This window comes from Homo sapiens, chromosome 6 (assembly GCF_000001405.40).
Source record: "Homo sapiens chromosome 6, GRCh38.p14 Primary Assembly".
Classification (NCBI taxonomy): domain Eukaryota; kingdom Metazoa; phylum Chordata; class Mammalia; order Primates; family Hominidae; genus Homo; species Homo sapiens.
Genome location: NC_000006.12, coordinates 101,798,839 through 101,817,172, shown reverse-complemented (window position 1 = coordinate 101,817,172; position 18,334 = coordinate 101,798,839). Strand labels below are relative to the sequence as shown.

The following is an 18,334-nucleotide window of genomic DNA, read 5'->3' as shown; positions in this document are numbered from 1 at the left end:
AGTAATTCAGTATTCTTTCCAAACTAAACCACCTACTGGCCAATTTACATTTCTTTACATTAGACTATGCTTATGACAATGTCCTAAAGATGGAGCCTAATTCTATTTCAGAGTCAATAATGAAAGGCTTCAGGAGCCAAGCCGGTCATATCAATGTGAAACATGATAATGTACAGGGCCGTAGTAAGAATTTCTATGCAAGTATGTGCAATTTTTAAATCTCACAAAATGTCAAGACACAGTAGAAAGGAGGGGCCACAATCCCAATCCTGCTTTTCCAACAGCTGTGTGCCTTGGGGCTGCATGTTCCCAGAGCAGGTGCTTTAGTTGAGTTTCCGGTAAGGCACCACCAGGGCTAGTAGAGGGCCTGCTGGGGACCTGGGTAGGGAAGGATGGAGGGGTGTCAAAACTAGAATGCCTGTTGACCTGCTTAAACTATTTAATTTTTTAAAAATTAATTAATTTATTTATTTATCTATTTTTGAGATGGAGTCTTGCTCTGTCACCAGGCTGAAGTGCAATGGTGCAATCTCTGCTCACTGCAACCTCTGCCTCCCGGGTTCAAGCAATTCTCCTGCCTCAGCCTCCCGAGTAGCTGGGACTGCAGGCGCCCGCCAACACGCTCGGCTAATTTTTGTATTTTTAGTATTTTGTATTTGTATTTTTAGTTTCACCATGTTGGCCAGTTTGGTCTCGATCTCTTGACCTCATGGTCCGCCTGCCTTGGCCTCCCAAAGTGCTGGGATTACAGGCGTGAGCCACTGTGCCCGGCCAAAGTGTTTCAAATTTAAAATCATTTGCAAATACTCTTGGCTAAACAAGACACATCTGCAGATAGTATTTTGCAGTGAATGACTGTCACTTTTCTATACCTGGTCCATAATTAATACCTATCATGCATTTGTTCCCTTAGATTTTACTTTTTTTTTTAATATAAATTGGCAAAATAGCTAAGATTTTCAGATGTGTAATGCTACCAGTGAAACCACTGACAAACATCATTTGTTCACTGTCGTCTATCTAATAAAACCTTAGAAAGTTTTCAACTTTCTAACCAAGTAACTAATACAAAGAATTTCCCATTTCACATAATGCCACCCTCCATTATTACTTTTATAAAAATAATTTAGCTAAATGTTCACTCAACTTACCATCTGAAAATACTTCTCTAGTTTCATTATTGGTTAGTTGCTTTTCTAGTTTTTTTGGAGTTCTGACACAGATGAATATTACATGAATCTACAATTTCCTATATTCACAAGTATTAGTTATCCTCTTTTGTAAATCTCAGCTTTCTTAGCGTAATATTATGACATTTCAGAAATATCAGTGGCTTTAATATTTTAAGTCAAATAAAATTTTAGATATTCCTAGATTGTCAACTACATGATTCAAAACTTTCTTCCATTGAGGAAATTGTCACCAGAGGTTTTGTTTTGTTTTAATGGCAAAAAACATGGACAAAGTGATAGCAATCTATTTTTGTCTATTCGGGAACCACTATTTTGTCATATGACTTGATCAAGCCTTTGAAATACTTTTTTTTTTTTTTAGCTCTGAAACGCAATTAAGATGCTTAAGCACTGTTGACCTTACAGAATTGTTTTATATATGGTGACTCTACATCCTGGTTTGCCCAGGTACTGTTTTCATTAATAATACCCTCTTGTACAAATAAAAAATATCATGATTTGTGTAATAAATTATAGGGCCATTCTAATTATAAGGATTCAATTAGATACAAGAAATATGAAAGTGCTTCAAAAGTCATAAGGAGCTATAGAAAATTATGATTTTATTCATTTTTATTTTATGTTCTGATTGGCTCTTTGATTTCTTCTTGTGGTCAGAAAAAGAATGCATATTAATTGTCATGAGATTATAAAATATGCAGAAGATATAAGAAGAAGATCAATTTAAACTTTGATCCTATGAATACACCCAGAGTCAATCATGGTTAATATTGTGGTCCTATTTTTTCCTGTCATTTGTCTTTCCACACACATTCCTTGCACAGTTTCCATCATAGCCTTGTTGTTAATGGCCCAGCTTTTATGGACAGCGTATTTGACTGCCAGGATCCTATGTCCACCACTTAACATCAGGTGACTCGGGTACATTATTTCTTTGTGTCACAATTCTCCCATCTGTAAATGGGAAATAATAGTATCTACTTCATAAACTATAGTGAAGATTAAATGAAAAAGTATTCAACATAGTGTGATTAAATGAAAAAGTATTCAACATAGTGTGTTTATAAGTATGCTATAATTATGACAATTACTAATTATATTCTGTTTATACACTATTGTGAGCATTTTCTCCTGGCACCAAAGATAATCAAATCCATAATTATAATGACTACACAAAATGATCATATGAACATATCGTGATTCAACTATCATTGTTACAAGGCCTTAGTAAACACATTTATTTATAAATATTTGTTCACACATTTTATCATTTTAAAAACAGATTTCTAGAATTAGAATGACTGAGCACAGATAATCTGAGTTGTTAAGATTATTACTATATGTTGCCAAATAACTTTCCAAAATAATTTCTCTACTTGTTATCTTTCCCTTTACAGTTCATGGTAGTTTCCATAAGACAACTGTATAACAATTTAGCTTTTAATAGTTTGAATAACATCAGATTATATTATAAAGGTTTATAATTGTCAAGTCTTTTAACTGTAGATGGTGTTATTGATAAAAATAACTGTTTTTATTTCAATTACTTTGTTTTACGTAAACTCTCAATATATATTATTAATCACACTTACTTTACCTCCATTATTTGTTTCTTTGCATTTGCTGATAAATCATTATATATATTTTCACTTTCAACATATTTCTCATTTTGTTGGATTTTTTTATAATTAGTGCCTTAGTAGATTTTTTCAATGTCCTAACTTTTTCTCTTACTGAATCTTATCTTTATTTAGCCTTGCTCCTTTCACATTGTTTGGTGTTTATTATTTACTTTCTACTCCTGGAAATTTTCCTATGGTAATTGGGAGATAAAATACATTTAAGTCTACTAATGTGTATTATCAGCTTCTGTTTGAAATATTACTATCATGCTGAAAAACGAATATTCAGCCATAAAAATTGAAATATCTACTCTACGAAAATTATCTATGCTTTGTCCCATTCTGCTGCCACACATACTGATTCACAGTTTTAGTTAACATTTTTTTTTTTTTTTGAGATGGAGCTTGCTTTGTCCTTCAAGCTGGAGTGCACTGGCACAATGTCGGCTCACTGCAACCTCTACTTCCTGGGTTCAAGCAATTCTCCCCACCTCAGCCTCCCAAGTAGCTGGGATTACAGGCACCCACTACCATGCCCAGCTAATTTTTATATTTTTAGAAAAGATGGGTTTCACCATATTGGCCAGGCTGGTCTTGAACTCCTGACCTCAGGTGATCTGCCTGCCTTGGCCTCCCAAAGTGGTGAAATTACAAGCATGAGCCACCGTGCCCAGCCGGTTTTAGTTAATTTAATGTGGGGTTGTAAACACTGCCTCTCTTTATTTTGCTTTGTGTATTATGAATTATTTTGCTACAAGGAAAAGGTTGTAATTTTGATATAATTTGTAAAGTCATTATTCAAAACTATCTTTTTTTGTGCTTAACTGAATTTGATGTTTACTAGGATATCTAGCCACAGTTTCTTCTGAGTATTTGCTTTTCACTTATCATTGTACTTACACAAGATAATTTATTATAAAAGATAATTATGTGACATACTTTTATGGTTGCAGACTTAAAGGTATTTTTGCTGCCTTCTTATATAAAGAAAACTTAGCTAAATGAAGACCTATTATATCAGAGCCGTCTTCCTTCAGAGCTAAGTTTTATTCATTTTTCTCTAGTATTAATGTTGCTCAAAAAGACTGAGAGCTACCTCATATGTATTTTGCTATTGGTGAATATTTTTTCTTGAAAGTCTTCAGTATTATCATTTGGAAATATTAAATCTCAACAAGTACATATGTGTGTGTATATGTGTGTGTGTGTGTGTGTATATGTGGATGTTTACATATGTCTATGTAGATGTATGCATGTATCTCTATATATAGTACATTTATGTATATGCATACATAGCATTTATGTATATGTTATATACGGATGTGTATATCATGTATATATGAACTTTTTGCAAAATATGTTACCTAAAGACTGAGTAGAAAGAGAGAGAAACAATGGTTCTTTTCTTAAATTGTCAGAAATATAATGCATTTCTCCATTTTCTGAACATAGACTTTGTTGCATCTTGTAGTTCTCAATTATTTGTGTCCTCATGTCTTCTATAGAAGGTGTACTCTTTCCCTTTTCACTACCTTATGCATGTATCTTAATTACTGTTTCAAAATATAGGTAAAACAATTCCTCCTCTGTGCAGTAATGGATGATCGTTTATTACGCTTCCATACACAGCAATTTAGTTATGCTTTTACTTACTACAATAAGTATCATATTATATTTTAACTGTTTACTTATCTCTGTCTAGTAAAAACTAATTCCCTACGGATGGAGACTTTGGCATACTCATCTTTTTACCCCAAGGCCTTTGAATATAGGACATCCTACGGGCTTTATATGTGAGATCTCTGAACATACTGGTTATATAACCAATAAACGTTTTATTTATTGAACATAAATAATAATATTTATTGAACAGAAATAAATGTTTTATTTTCCTCATCTCAGAAATGCCACTTATGTATTGCTTTGAATCCAAATTATATTTCATTTTTATTGATCCTGCTGTGTTAAACTCTAAGTGCCTTCACAAAACGAAACATTTCATCAATCTTTAAATTATATAATAAATATCCAATGAATATTTATTGAATAAATAAATAGAGTAAGTGAGTGAATTACTCCATGATAAAAACTTTCAGACTTTTTTGGTTGACTTTCCAATATCATTCATTCATTTGGCAAATGTTGAACATACATATGTGTCTATTCTTTTATAATTACATATTTTGTTTTCCATATTTTATCTTCATGTTTTTTGTGTTATTCTTAATGTTTTAAGATCTATCTCAATATCATATTTAATGTTTGAAATATTATGCCACATACCTTTACTATGAATTTCCATTTTTTCCTAATTATATTTTATAAGTATTTTAAATAAATATTTTACACTATAGGTTTTGTTTTTCAGGAATGTGTAAATTATTCATATAATTTTGTTTTATAAGTATATTTTCTCTTTGGTTTCTGTGTATTTTTTTCTAGGTAGAAAACAACAGTTTTCAGAATAATTTTTAAATTATTTATCTTATTAATTAGTTGCTTCTTTATTGTTTATTTGTTTATTTTTGGTGACAGTTTTCTCAGTACAAATTTTGTTTTGTAACTCATATTACTACTTTAAATCCAAAAAATGTTTCTATTTCCTCTATTGGGCTATATAATTGTTAACCTCTGAAAGTAGCATCTTTTCTTCTAAAGATGCATGTTAGCTCTGTTTTGTGTACACCGGATCAATGTCACACATTTCTTATTTTCTATGAAATTTATGGAAATAATTTGCTTGATATGTATACAAGAAATTTTTCAAGTAGGAACAAAATAAACATTCCCAGTTAGTTTTAAAAATATTAGTTCCAAATAAAGTTAAATTTATTTTAAATTAAGAAATAATTTAAATTCTCCACTAAAAAATACCTGATACAAATCTATCAAAATTCTCTTTATACTTTCTTACTGGCATTGACTCACAAAATATTCACTGGATGTTGGTAGATGGAAAAAGAAGCAATATAGTTTTCCATTAGACAACAATGTAAAAATGTAAAAAAGAAAGTTATTTGATTGTACATTGTTTTGACTTAATGTCAGGAGAATGTGTCAGCCTTGAATAAAGAATATAAGCCATAGTTTTCCACAGAGATCCTGTGTGATGATAATGAGAAACCACACTGTACATGGGTTTCCAACAGTCTTAGCACAATGCAGACTCTCCATCTTAGAATATGTTTGCTTAAAGAAATTTCTTTCCAGTAATGAGTTGCCCCCAACCATATGACCTACAAAGTATAGTTTTCCTTGAAGTATATTGACTACTTCCCTTGGAAAAAAGTTGGCACCCCGATAGTACTGTTTGAGGGAATTGAGAAATAGAAAGCATAAGAAAGAGATTTATATTAAATGCTGATTTACGTATGAAAGATGTTTCCTGCAATTGACTGAATATACACTAGTGGACTGTTTATTTCTCTATTAACTCATATACCTATTATTTCTGAAAACCTGGGTTTCTCAAGCCAATACAATGCATGAATATTGGGTACAGAAATTTTTTTCAACAGATTAGTTTTCTCACTATTAGTGGGAAATTAGAGACTTTTGTTTTCCTTACTTCACTCCTTCAAATGATGAATAGTTAAATGAAAAGTAGAGATAGTTAGTTGCATTACCGTCTAATAACCCTTGACACCGAAGTTTAATAACTGTTTACTTCCATTGAACTAAGTGTTGAAAAGAGAGCACTTAAGCATTGGCACCTGAGCTCTAGAAAACAAAAAGAAATATTTTACAGCAAAGCCTATGTGCTTCCTGCCAGCTAGAATTTGAGTCCAGAGCAATTGTCTGGAAATTGGCTGACCTTCAGATATAAGTTAATTGGCCTATAAGGATAGGGCAAAGAACGCTTTCGTAATCAGCGTCCTGAAACTCTCAACTAGTGTGCATAGGATCTCGGATTTTACCATTCGAGAACTATAGTGCTAATATGAGTACAATAAATCAGTAAGTATATAATCATCTCATGGAAAGGAATTAATAATCTAACTAAACACTGATTTTTCTCATTTAAGATTTTTATTTTAGTTTAGGGCAATTTAATGCTAAGCACAATTAAAGAGTTAACAGACAGGTTGTGATTTTGATTTTTTAAATAATGTTTGAATTAATGAATTACATGTTCCCAAATATGAAAATACGATACCATTCAGTTAAAAGCCATTTTTCCACAGATAAAAATGTAGGTCAGATTTGATTTGATTTGAAATCAAATCAATCAATTACAATTATGTTATATATATCATAATTGTAATTTATACATATATATATGTTAATTCAAATTTAGTGGTTAAAAGAAAAAAGCCAATATTTAATATTCATTGGTGGGCCAAAATAAGACTTTTTGGGAACCAAAACAATAAATTCTGTGACCTCAAATAAGGCAATCTGATTGATTTCTAAACATAAACATCATTCATAAATAGTTTTCTGAAATATTTTATCGTCCTGAAAGTGTAAAGTTGCCAAACAAAATAATAACTATACACACTGACACACAAAAATGTCGGTACAGTTCTGAGACAGGGTTTATAATGAATTCTATATAAGAGTTAGACAAATTAAATGGCTAACATCTCCAAAGAAAGGCAATAGGCTTGGATCCTGCCCAGGAAGTATTTTTGTTTTTAGAGAAGCAAACATCACTTTTTGACTAATTTAAAGTTTACGAGTTAACATCACCATTAAAATTGCTTTCGTAGAGGAAGGCAAGATAAATCTCAGTTCCTGGACAAGTTGGGGGTCACTGTTGCCATGGGCACTGGGTATATGTATCAAATGCCACCAAAGAGAGGAAGATAAAAACTGCCGTGCATCCGGTTCTAGAAATCTATAATTAATGTAAATTTCACCTATCTGAGGTAGATTTTCAGATTTAGATAAGTTCAGAAAATTTAAATTCCATTCAGGCACCTTTTTCATATGAAGTTTAATGAGGGCAGGAGTCAACAAGTAAAAGAAAGGTCAATAGTAAAGATTTCTGTAGAAATAACCACTTTTTCTTCAAAATACATACTTTACAAAAAATATTCAAAAAGCACTTTGAAACATGTTCTAATTCTAGAACACATAAGCCTGTAAACTCAGGCAGGCAGGGTTTCACTATCAATTCTTATCCTCCTCATATATTATCAAGATAGTTGAGTTTTAGCAAAAAGTCTGTGGATTAATACTAGTCTCTATACTGGTGGATGCAAGCAGTAAATATTTAAAAAGCATAAGTGTTAAAAGTTAAAATGAAGCTTCACATGAAAGTAAAATATGACAAATTTAAACCTTTTAGAGGTGTGTAAATGTGCAATATATTGCTTTATATTATTTATAAATACTATTTATAAGACATTTACAAATTATTTTTATATTTATATTATTAACTATAGAAATTGACAAACATATATTTCATAAAATGTCTTTCTGTATTTTTTTTTAAGATTTTCCCAAAGGATACACAAACTAAATCTGATTTTATTACAAACCTACGCTGGGGCAAACACATTGTGATTGTTTTTTATAGTCCCAAATGCTTCAAGGTCCCTCAGCACTATTTCTGTCCAAAGAAATTTATCAGTTTTATCCTTTCTATTTTTCAAAGTTAATATAATATTAATACATAAAGCCAATTTTAATAATGGTTTATTAGAGCCTATCTGCTGAGGAGATAGGGAATTCTATTCTCCAATGTCTATTTTCATTTAAATATCACACAGGAGAATATCCACAAAGTAATCAGATTGGCAAAATTTGATGCTAGAAAAAGGATAAGAGAAGTACACAAGAATAATTTTAATTTACACCTGTACTTAGAAACAAATATTCTGTAGTACAATAAAAATTATTTTGAATAACCAGGAAAGTGTAACAGTAAAAGACTGACTTTTTTCTCTTGGAAAACACACGAAGTACTTTGTGGTCACATAGGAGAGTTTAAAAGAAAATTCAATCATGAGTTAAGATTCAGGGATTTTATTATTGCATTACAGTTTCCTATAGGAAATTCTTTTCTAAATTTAAGTGGTTGTTTTCCCAAAAATGGCTTCTAGGTAGCTCATCTTGCAATGAAATTGCACTATTTTATATAATGTCATCAACTCAGTCTAAACCCATTTTGTGTGGAACTCTTCCAACTCTTTTTGCTGTAAATGATATCCTTTTGAAGTTACAGTCTAAGATCTTCCTGAATATTTCTGTAACATCTTATGCCATCAGTTTTGTGTTTTCTTCCCTCTAGAGCTGGTCTTTCCTAAGCACATAGCTAAGCTTCAGGTGATGGAACAATAAGGATAAACCACTTCCAACAATAAGTTACATCCTGGTTACACATTCTAAACAACAAAAACAAAACAAACCAAAAAAACAATTTTATTGTTGGTGATGATGTTTTTATATTTCCTCACAAGTAAATTTTTCCTGCTTCTTTTTATTTTTGCTATTCTTCTCCCTCCAAATTACTTCAGTAATTCCACTCACAGACTGAATACACAAATAGACAATGACCAAACCATGTGTGATGACAAACTATGACCCAGAAGCTCTGGAGTGAGCACCTCAGGAAGCCAAACACAATCTCAGCAGGCAATCTACCCAAAACAATCAGGATTCATCCTATTACTTCCAGTTTCCCAATTTTTTGCCACCCTCCAAATCAGAACCAGCCAGAGAAAGTCAAATGTGCCCCCCAAAACCCATTATCTAGGTGCCCTGCTTTGTTAGACCAACTCCAGTTTCCTCATGCCAGCAATCTCCAATCACAGCACACCTGAGGTCTTCATTTCTTTCCACTATGAAACTTTTCCACTCCCCTGCTTGCCTTTGAATCCCTGTTTAATGCAAGTGATGAAGGCTGTCTCCCTTCCTGTAGTAAGTTCTGAATAGTAACTTCCACTTGTTCTCATTTGGGTGAGCTTTGTTTATTTCCATACTGTAACTTGTAAGGACAAAAAAGGAACATTTATAAATAGAATGTTGAGTTTTACTGTTTAATGTAATACTGGAAGGTCAGAGAGTTTTTAATTGTGCCATGAATGGGGCCAGATTTACCACTGAAGCAATGTGGATCCTTACAATTTCCGACTTCAGGGTGACCTTCTGCAATCTAAAATCCTTTACCCACTTGAAACATTGACCCATGACCCCAACCCACTGATCCCTTGACTATTGTCTTTCCCTGTCCTCATGTTGGAGGTATAGAGCAAAGCTAGGAAAAGCAACAAACTGTGCTACAGGAAAATAACTCTGCATCAGACACTTGAGTAAGCGTTCTGTGTGAAGTATCTCATAATTTCCATAAAGATTCTTTATTCATTCAACAGTCAACAAATATTTCTTGAGTACATACTTTGTCCTCAAGACAAAGGATACTTTGCAAAGCCTTAATATATAGTAGTGGAAAAGGGAGCATATATTTTCCATCTAGTAGGTCTTGCACTCTGGCTAGGGAGATAGCCCTTTTATAAAGTTCACGTGAATAAATAATTGTGTACTTTGATAGAGTCAGAAATTAAAAAGGGCAGAGCATTAGGAGAAATTTAAACTTGATTAGAGACTTAGAGGAGGCCTATCTAAGGAAGTAATATTTAAGATGATACTACCAGGATGAGTAAGAGTTCCCCAGGCAAAGGAACTGGGAATGGATATTCCTGGCTGGGAAAACTGTTTCTATTACTCTATGCCAAAGTGATAAGAAAACTTTGTTTTCTTGAGGAAATGAGAAAAAAAAAAAAACCCTCTGTAGGTAGGGCAGAAGAAAATATCTGAGAACATGATGACATGATGAGAGGTCACTGGTGCTTTGGATTTTATTCAAAACACAATGAGAATCTATGAAAGCATTTAAACAGAGGGATGACAGGGGTCAATTTCCTTTTAAAAATATCTGCCTGGCTGCTGTGGTTTAGGGAATGGATTATAACAGAATTGAAGAGAGAGGCTTGTGGGAATTCCAATGTAGTTGTACAGTTGAAAGGTACTATGGTTATGATTCAGCAACGGATGTGGTGAGAGATGAATGGATTCTAAACATATTTTGAAAGTAGAATACACTATATGATCCTTGAACTGACCAGAAGAATTCAAGCTTGGAAAATCACTTATTCTGTTTTCCTTTTCCTGTTCCTGAGTGCTCAATACCAGCCTCTCATAAGCAAAAGTATTGCCTGAACTAGGCAAAGTCTGTAATAGTACCTACTGTCTTTCCCCCTTCTTGCCCTCCCCTCCTCCATTGAAGGCACTGCCATGGTCCCAGAGAGCTTGTTTGCACAGAAGTGGCTGGCTGTGTATACAGTATCGGTGATCTTTTTGGGACCACAGTGAATTGGGCTGGGTTCCAATTAAGGCTTCTGTTATAATAGAGTAGAAAGAATTCATTTGATCTATGGACACCATCTAAGTAGAAAGGATGCCCATCTCCACTCCAGGCTCAGACACTTGAGCATGGCCCACCTTTTCCCATTCATCAGAAGCATACTGGTTTCTTCCTGGTTTATCTGCTCCACAGTTGTAAACAACAGAAGCATAGACTTCCTTCCTGTTAACTGTTTTCATCCTGAAGTTCATGTTTCCGAACATTATGTAAAATCTATCATGTCAGTGACATAAAAACAAAATGACCTTCTTTTCAGCACTTATTACTGCCCAATCTTATAATTTTATAAGTCTAATGAGTCTATTTATTATTGGCAGGTTTCCTCTATTAGATTATAACCTTCATGAGGGCATAAAACAGACATTCCTTCCATATTTGTTAGAAGATTAACCTACTAAATGAAGTGTGCTGGTCTAAGATGACCAAGACAGAATGAGAATGAAGAAAAGGCAATAGGCATGAGAAGAGGGATAAACCTAGCACTTTACATGTTTTCCTTCTTTATTTTTGTCTCTCAGTCATGATAGAACATAATTGTTAAATTTTAACGATTAAAATTTCTAGCATCAATTTATTTCAAGATGGTACTTCCGGGTTCTTTTAGAGGCCATAGTATTCTCACTTCAGACTGTCCAAGAGGGCAGCCCTTTGCCCTGCACTTTTTTTTTTTTTTAAGGTGATGAATTTGGCACAGAGAAGTTCGGTGGCAGGATGAAGTTCACATGCTTAGTTTTGATAGAATTGGAACTGAAATTCAAGCCTCTTGGATCACCATCTATTGGCCCTTCTAAACTGTGAATTCCATCAGGGTAGGGATGCTGTCTTTTCCATCTATGGGTTGGTAACTATACTTTCTAGGCAGAAAAAAAGTCAAGTCAATAACACTCAGTCATCATGAGGCAGATAACTGCTGTTGCCTCATGATTCAGTGTAAGACGCTGTGTTTTAGAGAGATTAATAAATTTGTCCACAAAAAGTAAAGGGCAGAGTGAGAATTTGAGCCAAAATATCTCTGAATCTAGACCTTGAGCTGTAAACTATTCTACTAAATTTAAAATGAGGACTTTTTGCTACTTAGCAGCATTTTGTTCCTTCTAAGTCAAAATCAAGTCTGTCAAAATGGAATTTTCAATTTTTCTTAAGAACCGACTAAACTTTACCGCTGTCCTTTAGCTGATGAGTTCATGTACAAATTTTCAAGGATATTGAAAACATGTGATGTGAACTTTTTGCTCCCTTTCTCTTTAACTTACCTCCACCCATCCTCGGTACCTTATCTGTCTTTTCAGGGGAAGGTTTATGCCAGTTTATTTCTACTAGTAATTCCCCTACTTGCTAATTCATTTTCCAATATTTGAGTTATGCTTTTATCCCTGGTATCTCCCTTTTCCTACCTGGCTCCTCCATTTCTCCTTAAAAACATAGTCCAAATGCTTTGCTAGTCTTTGAACTAACAACATTGCTGATGGTTCAGTTAATGCCTTCTGTCACAAACTGTTTACTCATCTCCACTTCCTATTAGAATGGTTTTAAATTCATGGCCTCATACTAAAATTATTCTAAACTATATTATCTTCCCAAGTAACCCATAGCCTTCAGGGCTATTCTTTCTTTAAACTCACATTGTGTTCTAATACCCTGCAAATATCTTGGACATGGTATCTATGTTATGACTAAAATCTAGCATTTTAGCTTTATTTGTATGTGTATGTGTGTAATGATAAAATCAAACGCTATGTTTGTGTTTCCCCATACTTCTACTTCCTTCTAAAATGACTGATTTTCTAACAATCAATAATTCAACATATTCAAAGGCTAATTCTAAGTACTCAATTGACTATGACTCTTGATTAATTATATCTTTTATCAGAAATTATATTTTTATTGGTCTTTTGAAAGCTTGAAACATATAGCTTTTGATTGTATTTATTTACAAATATGTATTATCTTATCACTGTACATGAAAAGCCCCTTGAGGATAAGGACTGAACATAATTAATTCAGCAAAATGAATTTTCAGATTTTAGAAAATAATATAAAATATTTATGAAATCTCAGAGCAACCTGAACAACTCACACTGGTTTACCTTGCTTATCAGTGTGATAGATCATCATATGTACTTGATAACCATTATATTCAGGCGTATCTGTAAGCCACAATGGAGCACAGAGAAAATTTTGTAATGTTTCATTTATTTTGAATTCAAGACAGGAATGGATCTATGGTAATATGAAGAGCACTGCCATTTTATGCAGATGTATTGAAATGTCAGCAATGGTCCAAATTCCTCCTAGTGATTTCGATATTTCATAAATAAATAAATAAAGTAATAACATCTCCAGTAAACAGTAAGATAAACTCCTCACGAGCTTACTGAATTCTACCATTATCAACTCCAGTCTTGGACACAGACTAATTTTCTCATCTGGAGAGTGAGACAGTTAGGAAGGGACTGTCTCATGAATATTTGGGTTCCAGTTTATTATAAAATATTCCTGACTTTGCTTGGTCTTCACAAAGTGTACAGTTTGAAATCCTCAGTGGCAGGAGGTAACAGCTCTATCAGTTTGAGTCATCAGTTGGTCATAATGTATTTAAAACTGTCTTGGGGACACTATCAAAAATGCAATTTTACTCTGTCCTGGATGGTTTGAATCAGCATTCAAATATGCTGTTATCTTCCAGACTAAGAAAGCCCTTCGTAGGTCTCAGCTTTCCTCTTCAGTTTCTGTCTAGAAATAAAGCTGCATGTTTCATTGCTGGGTGAAATATAAGATAGCTTACTATCTTCAAAGCAATATTATCTCAGTCACATATAATTTTTCTCAAGTTCTTATTTTAATAAGATCTAATAAGATTTAATAACATCTAAATAACATATAAAAAGATTTAATATCTCTTGTCAATTATCAATGAATCTATCAGAAAAATATCTAAATACATACATTATGTATTTAAGAAAACTCACACTAAAATATTCATTAAGTAGGCACATACCCACATTCTTTGGGTGTTTTACCACAATCCCTAGCAATAAAATCAAGTAAGATAGATCCAGTGTGGTATGTTACATTTATGTATATACCCTAGTTACTGTGCATACATGAATTCAAATATTTCACTTAAATATGACTCAAAAAATAGAAACATACTTTTATATTTAATTTCTTAATGGCCTGCTCCAAGTTGGAAAGTCTATGCAACCATAAGTGATTATAAGCTGCATGTATAAAGACCCATATTAAACCAAATATTTTCTAATTGCTATATTAAACCTTAAGACTAATTAACATTATATGCACTTCAAACATTATATGCATCAGAAAAATCTCTAGTTAGAAAATAAAATATAAAATTGTCTTAAGATACCCTTTATCCTTGAATCCTAATTGTCAATTATTATATTCAATATAATGAATTAACTATTTATTTTTAGAGTTACTCAATAAAGTTAAATGTCAATGAAATGTGACTACAACAGAGAATATTTGTCTTCTTTGAGATATGTTTCATTTAGTAATTAAAGCAAATAAGCTCACTGAAATACCTTTTCTAGACCTTCTTCCTTCAGACTGATCACATCCAAATCAAAATCTGTTCTCAAGCCATTGGTTTTGTTGAAAGTTATTCTGCCTGTGAGGCCTTCCCAATGTGCCTATGGGAATAGAAAAACATTGATAATAAATAAGTGAAGAAAGATGGAATAAACATTTTTTCACAAAAGTAGGAAACTTATATTCATTACTTTTCAGTTTACATTGCTAGAGATTTTTAAAATATTTTAATTTTCTTCTGAAATTTGAAAAATGTTTTTCTACATAAATTATCCTAGTTTCAGCAGAAAATTTACTATAAATTTTTCATTTTATACAATGCATTTTCCAGTTACAATTTTCTGTCTAGGAGACATTGTATTATTATGTTTTAAGTAGTGTACCTCTTTAACTAAAGTGAGAAGAATTTAGTTACTTTTTATGGTGTATGAGATATTAAATATCTCACTGGCAAATACAGTTAGAACTACTGTTATAAAATCCCACTACTAAATTCATAATAACATGAAAAGGAACTTATTACAATAAGAGAAACTGAATCCAGGAAAAGCTATGTTATACTAACTCAATTATATACATTCCCCCTAGCTTTCCACTAAGTAAGGGCAAGGGAAATGTATTATAATTACTTCATATCAAGATATACTTCATGGAGGAGATGGGAATATAATAATCTAGCTGTATAATATGTTCAACCCTAAAAGGTGAGTAAATATCTGGACTTTTTTAACGTAAAAAGTTTTCCCATTCTGTTGGTTATAGAACCACAATTAGATGTTTTCCATTGTTTGTCATTTGGAAATAGCTTAGGAAAAAGTAGTTAAATACAGAAATTTTCAATTATAAAATGTATACTCACAACTAAAATGTTTAAAATAATATAACCAAGACCCAAAAGAAGTAAATATCAGTAGATTAAGGGTAATATTTCAATAAGGATTTGAAATTAATATTACTAAATTTCTGAGGCTCCATATGATATTTGGATACTTATGTGCAAGATTCTTAGTTTTCAGCTAATAAATTACAAATGAAATAGAAAAAGTTTAATACATATTCATAAACATATTGCAACATGTCTTTGCTAAAGTTAAACATGTGTTCACTGGTTTGGAATAAGGAAGAAAAAAATATTTTTAGCCTAATGGCTTCCAAAGAAAAACTTTCAAGTGACTAACCAAAATGGACAATAGTATAAAAGTAAACAAAAAGATCAAGAAGTACAAGAATAGAAGTGTAAAACAGAAGAACAAATCTGGGGTAGAGAGAGCATAAAGAAATGTATACCAGGTGAAATTGCACAAGTAATTTTATCACAAATTCAATTCTGAACTTCCTAGCAACCAAAACAAAGAAGAAAATATGATAAAAACACAATATACAGGGTCTATAATTTAAGACATACCAGCTGCTCAGGAGAAAGAGCTTTTCCTGGCACTGAGACCTGAGAGAAATTTCTCCTGTTGGTCCTCATAAGGGGGACACTGTGTGATTTAGTGGACAAGATTCTCAATTACACCCTACAATAAATACAATGGGGAATGTCATACAACTGCTTCTTTTAGGGCTGCTTGACACGTCATTGTTTCAATAATCTAGTGCTGAGTTCAGAAAAATCAATTCTTCATCTCGCCAGACCTGTGGACTGTGTCTACAGCTCACTAAGTTTCAGTTTTAAACCAGAAGTAAATGTTAGAATATGGGGCAACTAATAAACTGCATATTCTTCGAAACTATTAATTCATCTACCTGAGAGTTTGATAAGAATTAGACAAAGAAAATTCATGGATATTCAGAGATACTTAATTATGATCCTATTTGCACTTTTATTTTCATGATGAATAATTTATTACAAGATGAACTGATGATTTATTTTAAGCCATTAATAAAAAATTTCATATGGTAATAATACCTGTGATATTTCATTGCAAAGATTAAGGCACAGTTAAACTTTCATCTATGAAAAGTATTCTAAGTTAACAAAGGACTTTCTTTTTTGACAGGAAAAATATATACGTATACATATTTGTATATATATGCATGTATATATGTATGTATGTATGATCTTCAAAAACTTTTTCTCACTATGAATATTCTTGATCTATAACAGACATAGTCAGAAATGATATATGGTCATAAGAATGGTTGCATTATATAACATGGAGTAAATTTTGCACTTTGATTAATCCATACATTCTATTTTTGTTAATTGTAAATATAATTTAAATAACTAGACATATTTAGGAACAATTAATCTGAATAACTATACTTGAAGCCTCACAAATTAGGTATAATTTTGCTGTAGTGCAAATGACATTTATGTTAAAAATGCATTTTATATTTTGTTGCCTAAAATATAAACATTCCTTTATTAATCTATATCTCTACATAAAGGAAAAGTAATAAAGATTCAGAAAGGTAAATGCTAACCCTCATAGATACTTTGATAGATATTTTGTTTCCCCTCACCTTTCATTTGGTATTATTTAGTAAAAATGTTAATTTTGCTTATTTGGAGTAAGAGAGAAAATTTAAATTAAACATAAAGTAAAAGGACACTTGCTAGAAAAACCACAATAATCTCACTTCATTCAGCTTGACAACAAAAGAGACAAGGCAGATGTTCTTCTCCTAACTTACCTCTTTAATTAGACTCATAAAGCGGGTCCCGAAGCGCCAGGGTTTATGTCGATTACACTGCAAGGAACTGACTGTCATCTGGGGAAACTGTTGAACGGCCACAGACACCACATGCACAGCATCATACATTAGAGCAGCATCAGTCTGAAAAGCAAGGGAAAGGGAAATTTATAGTCAATATAACTTGTAGAACTTGTGGTAGATGGTTTGCAAGGAGGAAGAGGGAAGAGGTAAGGGAAATATATATCCCATTTTTCTTTGTATAAAGAAGAAAACGTTATCTCTAACATGCTCTCGTTCTCTTAAACAAGACATTATGATCAAATTACTACATCAGCTCCATAAGAAAATTTGACCTACCCTCCTTTTCCTGAAATAACCCAATTACATATAGTCCTAGTACTGCCGTTGAAGTAGGACATGTATGAAGACAGGCTTTATTTCCTTTTTGTCACTATCTCTGATTCTTACTCTGTCTCACTTATACACACACACACACACACACACACACACAATGAGTACATTGCTAACATTTTTAATGGTCACATAAATTACATATTCTATATAAAAGTAAGTAAACAGTTTCCTTTTATAGGAAGAAACCAAGATTTTAAGGGAGACTTACTTAAAACCTTAAATTCTTTCATTGTTTTAATCTTTTAGCTTTAAAAAGATATAAACCCTGATCTTTTTCTTCAACTTAAATTTTCAAAAGTTTCAATCTCAGAAATGATGGTAGTTTTGAATCTCAATAGCTGTATTACCCGCTTTTCAAGAAACTAAGCTTAATCTCTTGTACGGTTTCCTTTCCCCAAGATTTCCATATGAATAAAAGTTCATTTGGCTTCTCAGGTAAAACAAATATGAATTCTACTGTGTTTGCACCTGCTCAAATGACCAACCACTTTGGAGGTTGATGATAAAAAAATAAAATGTTTATAAGTCATAACAAA

At 32.3% G+C, this 18,334-nt stretch overlaps 1 protein-coding gene across 8 annotated transcripts in view; it reads right to left on the bottom strand.

Annotated features, from left to right (window-relative positions):
* GRIK2 (glutamate ionotropic receptor kainate type subunit 2) overlaps nt 1-18,334 on the bottom strand; it is a 676,376-nt gene that overhangs the window by 252,911 nt on the left and 405,131 nt on the right. For all 8 annotated transcript variants that reach the window (XM_047418681.1, NM_021956.5, XM_047418682.1 and 5 more), the window contains 2 exons: nt 17,382-17,525; nt 14,735-14,842 (listed from right to left, as the gene is read on the bottom strand). In XM_047418681.1, the coding sequence (XP_047274637.1) occupies nt 14,735-14,842; nt 17,382-17,525 (252 nt within the window). The remainder of the gene's footprint in view (nt 1-14,734; nt 14,843-17,381; nt 17,526-18,334) is intronic.